Source organism: Homo sapiens, chromosome 2 (assembly GCF_000001405.40).
Source record: "Homo sapiens chromosome 2, GRCh38.p14 Primary Assembly".
Classification (NCBI taxonomy): domain Eukaryota; kingdom Metazoa; phylum Chordata; class Mammalia; order Primates; family Hominidae; genus Homo; species Homo sapiens.
Genome location: NC_000002.12, coordinates 63,071,401 through 63,079,463, shown reverse-complemented (window position 1 = coordinate 63,079,463; position 8,063 = coordinate 63,071,401). Strand labels below are relative to the sequence as shown.

General features: G+C 40.0%; 1 annotated feature.

The window, feature by feature from the left end:
• Nucleotides 216-510: an enhancer, noted in NCBI's record as "tiled region #3143; K562 Activating DNase unmatched - State 13:Ctcf". NCBI's record gives its function as "activates a minimal TATA promoter and a strong SV40 promoter by Sharpr-MPRA in K562 cells {active_cell/tissue: K562}" and the evidence as "EXISTENCE:reporter gene assay evidence [ECO:0000049][PMID:27701403]".

Genomic DNA, 8,063 nt, shown 5'->3' with positions numbered 1-8,063 from the left:
ACTGTTTTAGCAGTTAATTATTAACAGAAATTAACGTGCCATCATGACTAAACATTCCCAAGATTAAATGCTAACTACAGTTGCCATCTAAGAATGTGAAGAACTCTACAAATAGGATATCCTGTGTCCCAGTTTGCCTGGGACAGTCAGTTTATACCTGCTTTTCAGGAAGGATCATTAATAGTACCCCCTTTCACTCTTAAAGTATGGATGGTAAATCACATGGACCCTATATCGATGAAGACAAGCACACAGGAAATTATTATTTTCTACTTCATGTTTATTCCTAATTTACAAAAATATCTGTCATATCCTATGAACATCCATTATAGTTGCTAGTACTCATAGAATGCTGCTCATACTTTCAGAAACTAGCCCTGAAACAGCTAGGGACTGCCTCCTAGTGGTGGGGTGAGTCTCGGATGTCCCTGACCCCTTGACAAAACAACATTTTGTCAAGCCTAGTGAGGTTCTCCCATACCTACCAATCAGCTTCGAAGGGCTCTTTCCATCCCATACTTTTCCCTCTTGTGCTTAATAAGCTCTTATGTTTCCTCATTCAAACCAAGCTAATGAGAAGTGTATCCCAAATATGACTTTCTCCACAGATGGAAATTTTTACTTTATAGAAAAAAATAGGCTTGATTTCCTGTAAGATCAGGAACAAATCAGGGGTGCCTGCTTTTGTCACTTCTATTCAAAAAGTACTGGATTTCTAGCCAGAGCAATTAGGGAGGAAAAAGAAAATTACAGGCATTCAAGTTGGAAAGGAAGAAGTAAAACTATCTCTGTTTGCAGATGAAATGATCTTCTGTATTAGTCTGTTTTCATACTGCTACAAAGAACTGCCTGAGACTGAGTAATCTATAGAAGAAAGAGGTTTAATGGACTCACAGTTCAGCATGGCTGGGGAAGTGTCAGGAAACTTACAATCATGGCAGAAGGTGAAGGGGAAAAAAGGCACCTTCTTCACAAGGTGGCAGGAAGGAGGAGTGCCTAGTGAACGGGGAAGAGCCCCTGATAAAACCATCAGATCTTATCAGAACTCACCCACTATCTCCAGAACAGCATGGGGGAAACTGTCCCCATGATTCACTGACCTTCACTTGGTTTCTCCCTTGAAACATGGGGACTGTGGGGATTACAATTCAAAATGAAACTTGGGTGGAGACACAAAGCCTAACCATATCATCTTCTATGTAGAAAAAACCCTAAAGGATCCACATAAAACCCAGGCATGGTGGTTCATGCCTGTAATCCCAATACTTTGGATGGCCAAGGTGAGAGGATCACTTGAAACCAGGAGTTCAAGATCAGCCTGGGCAACATAGTGAGACCCCATCTCTACAAAAAAAAAAAAAAATTTTCAACCTGTCAGAGCTAATAAACAAATTATGCAAAGTTACAGGATACAAGATCAACACACACAAAAATCAGCTGCATTTCTACAGATTAGGAGGAAACAATACAAGAAAGAAGAAAATAATTTCATTTATAACATTATCAAAAAGAATAAAATGCAACCATTAGGAAGACTATTATTAAAAAAACAGAAAACAATAAGTGTTGCTCAGGATGTGTAGAAATTGAAACCCCTGTACACTGTTGGTGGGAATGTAAAATGGTATAGCTGCTCTGGATAACAGTACAGTGGTTCCTCAAAAAATTAAAAATTAAATTACCATATGAACCAGAAATTCTACTTCTAGGTACGTACACAAAAGAATTAAAGCAGAATCTCAAACAGATATTTGCTGTTATACACTAAATTGTGTCCTCCTCAAAATTTACATGTTGAAGTCCTAACCCTCAGTACACCTCAGAATATGTCTCTATATTTGGAGACAATACATTTAAAAAGGTAATTACGGTTAAATGAGGTCACATGGATGGGACTTAATCCAATATGACTGGTGATCTTAGAAGAGGAGACACCAGAGATGTGTCCACATAGTGAGAACATGACCATCTGCAAGCCAAGGAGACAGGCCTCAGGAAAAACTGACCCCGACAACACCTTGATCTCAGACTTCTAGCCTCTAGAACTGTGAGAAAATTAATTGCTGTTGTTTAAGCCACCCAGACTGTGGCATTTTGTTATGCTGCTCCTAGTGAACTAATACATTTGTACACTCATGTTCAGAGCAGGATTATTCGGAATAGCTAAAAAGTGCAGGCAACCCAAGTGTCATCTACCAGTGATACATATATTGTTTATCTCATATATATATCATATATATATCATATATATATATACCCACACAATAGAATATTATTCAGCTTTAAAAAGGAATAAAATTCGGCCGGGTGCGGTGGCTCACACCTATAATCCCAGCACTTTGGAAGGCCAAGGCAGGTGGATCACGAGGTCAGGAGATCAAGATCATCCTGGCTAACATGGTGAAACCCTGTCTCTACTTAAAATACAAAAAAAAAATTAGCCAGGCGTGGTGGCGGGTACCTGTAGTCCTAGCTACTTGGGAGGCTGAGGCAGAAGAATAGCGTGAATCCAGGAGGCGGAGCTTGCAGTGAGCCGAAATCGCGCCACTGCACTCCAGCCTGGGCGACAGAGCGAGACTCCATCTCAAAAAAAAAAAAAAGAAAAAAAAAGGAATAAAATTCTGACACATGCTACAACATAGATGAACCTTGAGGACATTATGTTAAGTGAAATAAGCCAGTCACACAAAGACAAATATTTTATGGTGCCACTTATATGAGGTAATTAGAGGATTCAAATTCCTAGAGACAGGAAGTAGAAGGGTGTGTGCCACAGGCTGGGGGAGGAAAAATGGAGAGTGGTTGTTTCATAGATACAGAGTTTGTTTTGACAGATGAAAGGAGTTCTGGAGACTGGTTGTACAACAACGTGAATACCTAAATTGAACTGCACACTTAAAAAATGGCTAAGATGGTTAATGTTATATGTATTTTACCATAATTAAAATTTGGTTTAAAAAATAAAATACTGAGGAATCAATTTAGCAAAGGAGGTGCAAGACTTGTACACTGAAAACTACAAAATTTTGCTGAAAGAAATTAAGGAAAACATAAATAAATGGAAAGACATCCAATGTTCATGAGTTGGAAGACTTAATACTGCTAAGATAATACCACCCAAAGCAATACACAGATTCAATTCAAAGACCCAATAGCATTTTTTGCAGAAATAGAAAAGTCCATCCTAAAATTTATATGAAATTCCAAAGGTCCCAGAAGAGCAAAAACAATCTTGAAAAAAAATGACAAAGTTGGAGGACTTGCACATTCTGATTTCAAAAGCTACAAATATGCCTTAAATATACACAATAAAATTTATTTTTTAAATGCTATAAATAATGGAAAAAGTATAGTACTGGCATAAAGACATACATAAAGACCAATGCGATAGACAGCCTAGAAATAAACCTTAGAGCACCTTGTCAAATGATTTTTGACAAGGATGCCAAGACCATTCAATTGGTAAAAGACAGTCTTTTTCAACAAATGGTGCTGGAAAACCTGGATATCCACATGCAAAAGAATGAAGTTCTCTTACTTTACACCACATACAAAAATTAACTCAAAATGGATCAAAGACCTAAATATAAGACCTAAAATTACAAAACTCTTAGGAAAAAAAAAGGGAGAAATCATCATGACACTGAATTTAGCAATAATTTATTGGATATGATACCAAAAGCACAGCCAACAAACTAAACAAATAGATAAATTGAACTACTTCAAAATATACTCTCAGCAGAGTGAAACAGCAACCAACAGAATGGGAGAAAATATTTCCAAATCATATATCTGATAAGGACTTAATATCCTGAACACATACAGAATTCCTACAATTCAACAACATAAAAACAAACAATCTGACTTTTAAAATGGACACAGGACTTAAATAAACCTTTCTCCAAAGAAAATATACACATGGCCAACAGGCACATGAAAAAGATGCTCACCATTACTAATCATTAGGAAGATGAAAGTCAAAATCACAATGAGATACCACTTCCTACCCATTAGGATGACTATTATTAAAAGGAAAAAAACAAGTGTCAGCAAGGACGTGGAGAAACAGGAACACCTGTGCATTGCTGGGGCGGGGGGAATGTAAAATGGTACAGCTGCTATGGAAAATATGACGGTCCCTCAAAAAATTAAAAATAGAATTACCACATATTCCAGCAATTCCACTTTTGCGTATATACCCGAAAGAATTCAAAGCAGAGGCTTGAACAGACATTTGTACACCCATGTTCACACCAGCATTATTCACAACAGCTAAAAGGAAGACACAACCCAAGTGTCCAACAAAGGATAAATAAACAAAATGTATATATGTATACAATAGAATATTCAGCCTTAAAAGGAAGAAAATTCTGACACACGCCACATGAATGAATCTTGAAGACATTATGCTAAGTGAAATAAACCAGACACAAAGGGATAAATATTGTATGATTTCACTTACATGAGAATCTAAAATAGGTAAATTCACAGAAAGGGAAAGTATATTAAGGGTTTCTAGACTCTGGAGGAAGGGGAAAATTACAGTTCATTGTTTAATGACACAGAGGTTCTGTTTGGAATAATGAAAAAAAAATTGGAAACAGACAGGGGTGATGGTGGCACAATATTGTGAATGTAATTAACACCACTAAATTGTACACTTAAAATGGCTAAAAGGGGCCAGGCACAGTGGCTCACGCCTGTAATCCCAGCACTTGGGGAGGCCAGGGTGGGCAGATCACCTGAGGGCAGAAGTTCGAGACAAGCCTAGCCAACATGGTGAAACCCCATCTCTACTACAAACACAAAAATTACCCAGGCATGGTGGTGTGCACCTGTAGTCCCAGCTACTCAGGAGGCTGAGGCCAGAGAATCACTTGAACCCAGGGGGCGGAGGTTGCAGTGAGCCATGATTGCGCCACTGCACTCCAGCCTGGATAGCAGAGTGAGACTTTGTCTCAAAAAAAAAAAAAAGGCTAAAATGACAAATCTGTATTTATATATATTTCACTAAAATAAAAAAAGAATTTAAAAAGGCATGAATTTAGGCTTTTATTTGGATTGATATGATGAAATGTGAATAATCTGAATTCACTCATCCATTTAGTAATTCTTATTTTTTTTTATTTTTATTTTTTTGAGAACAGGTTTTGCTCTGTCACCCAGGCTGGAGTGCAGTGGCATAATCACAGCTCACTGCAACTCTGAACTTCCGGGCTTAAGCAATCCCCCCATTTCAGTCTCCTGAATAGCTAGGACTACGAGCACACACACCACACTTAGCTGATTTTTGAAAATATTTTTGTGGAGATGGGGGTCTCACTACGTTGCCCAGGCTGGTCTTGAACTCCTGGCTTCAAGCAACCCTCCCATCACAGACTCCCAAAGTGGTGGGATTATAGGCATGAGCCACTGCCTCTGGACTCACTGGCATCCCATATAGCACATATTATGTTGTAGGCACTTTGCTAGACTCTAAAGTGATAAACAGACACTTATGGTAATGTTTTTGTTGTCGCTTTTTGAGACAGGGTCTTGCTCTGTTGCCCAGGCTGGAGTGCAATGGCACAATCTCAGCTTACTGCAGCCTCAACCTCCTAAACTCAAGCAATTCTCCCACCTCAGCCTCCTAAGCAGCTAGGACTATAGCGGGCACCACCATGCACAGCAACTTTTGTTTATTTTTTGTAGAGACTAAGTCTCACTATGTTGTTGCCCAGGTTGGTCCCGAACTCCTGGCCTCAAGAAATCCTCATGCCTCGGCCTCCCAAAGTGCTGGGATTACAGGCATGAGCCATTGCACCTGGGCTGTGATAATGTTTTCACAACATTAATAATCATTAACAGTTTTTGGGTTTTTAAAATTTCAACTTTTCTTTTAGATTCAAGCGGTATATGAGCAGGTTTGTTACTTGGGTATACTGAGTGATGCTGAGGTCTGGGATACAAATGATCCACCCAGGTAGTGAGCATAGTACCTAATAGTTTTTCAACCCTTGCCTTTCTCCCTCCCTCCTACCTCTAGTAGTCCTCAGTGTCTATTGTGCCATGTTTAGCTCCCACTTGTAAGTGAGAACACAATATTTGGGTTCCTCTTCCTATGTTAATTCACTTAGAATAATGGCCTCCAGCTGCATCTATGTTGCTGCACAGGACATGATTTCATTCCTTTTTGTTTTTGAGACAGAGTCTCGCTCTGTCTCCCAGGCGGGAGTGCAGTGGCGCGGTCTCGGCTCACTGCAAGCTCCGCCTCCCGGGTTCACGCCATTCTCCTGCCTCAGCCTCCCAAGTAGCTGGGACTACAGGTGCCCACCACCACACCTGGCTAAGTTTTTGTATTTTTAGTAGAGACGGGGTTTCACCATGTTAGCCAGGATGGTCTGGATCTCCTGACTTCATGATCTGCCTGCTTCGGCCTCCCAAAGTGCTGGGATTACAGGTGTGAGCCACCGCACCCGGCCGATTTCATCGTTTTTTATGGCTGCATAGTATTCCATGGTATATGCATACCACCGTTGATAGCCACCTAGGTTGATTCCATGCCTTTGCTTAATGATAGTTAACTGTTTTTGAACGTTCTTACATACTCCCAACAAACTTATGGGTTAATTTATATGATTATCCTCATTTTCCTGATGAAGAAACTGGAGGCTTACAGAGAATAGGCAACTTGCGAAAAGATCACTGCTCAACTATGTATTCTCAACCATTATTCTGCCAGCAAGTGTATTTGCTACTATGAGAGTACATTAGCAATGCAATTAAATTAGTCACCTAGGATTTTAGGGATGTCTAAGCAAAAATTTGAAAGCTAAGTAGGAATTTTGGTAGGGCAAAGGTTATAAGTTAAATAAGAAAATGTTTCTAGGCCAGGTGTGGGAGCTCACGCCTGTATTCCCAGCACTTTGAGAGGCCTAGGCGGGAGGATCACTTGAGGCCAGGAGTTCAAAACCACTCTGGGCAACACAGCGAGACCCTGTCTCTACAAACAATTTAAAACTTAGCCAGGCATGGTGGTGCATGCCTGTAGTCCCAGACAGTTAAGAGGCTAAGGTAGGCAGATCACCTGAGCCCAGGAGTTCAAGGCTACAGTGAGCCACGATTGCACCACTGTACTACAGCCTGGGTGACAAGGCGAGACCCTGTCTGAAAAAAAGAAAAGAAAAGAAAATGTTTCTAACAGTGGGCACAAAAAGCCTAGAAGAAAAGGCAGAGGGGATTCGGGGAACTTCAAGCAGCTTAGTGAAGGAATATCTTAAAGTGTCAAAGGTAAACTGTCAGAGATGAGACTGGAGTAGTAAGTACAACAAAGAGAGGTTTAGTTTTGGCTTTGGCTTTACCTATTGTGAAATAAACCACCACAATGTTTAGTGGTTTAAAACAACAACCATTTTGTTATTTGTCATTATTCTGTGGATTGATTAGGTTCAGTTAGACAGTTCTATAACTCCATATGATGCTGCCTGAGGCTGAAGTCATCTGAGGGTTTCACAGATGTGGAACATCAAAGATGGCTCTCTCACACATATGGCATCTTGTCAGGGACATCTAGAAGGCTAGATTCACCTGGGGTACCGGGATGCCTGAGCCCTTCTCTTCCTCCATCTAGTTTCAGGCACAGTCTTTCCACTTTCTAGTCCTCCAGCAGGGGAGCTGGAGACTTACTATGAGGCACTTTAGTTGCAAAAGTTAAAGCTATCAAGCATTCAACTTTTGCTATATGGCGGAGGCCTGGAACTGACACAGCATCCCTTCTACCATATTACTTAAAGTGAGTGACTAGGTCAGCTCAGATTCAATATGGAAGGGAACCACACAAGGGCATAAATCCTGGAAGATGTGATTCACTGGGGGCCATCTTTGGAAACTAACTACCACAGGTTTTATGTATAGGATCAGGATTGAGGAAAGCATAATCAGTAAGGAGGTTATTGGAACAGACTAGGCGAGAGATTATAGAGGCATTTTGTATTTGGAATATAGACAGGTAAGTAGAATTAAGACCTGTTAAGTGATAAAATGAACTGAATTTGTTGAGTAACTGACAATGGAAATTGAAGAAG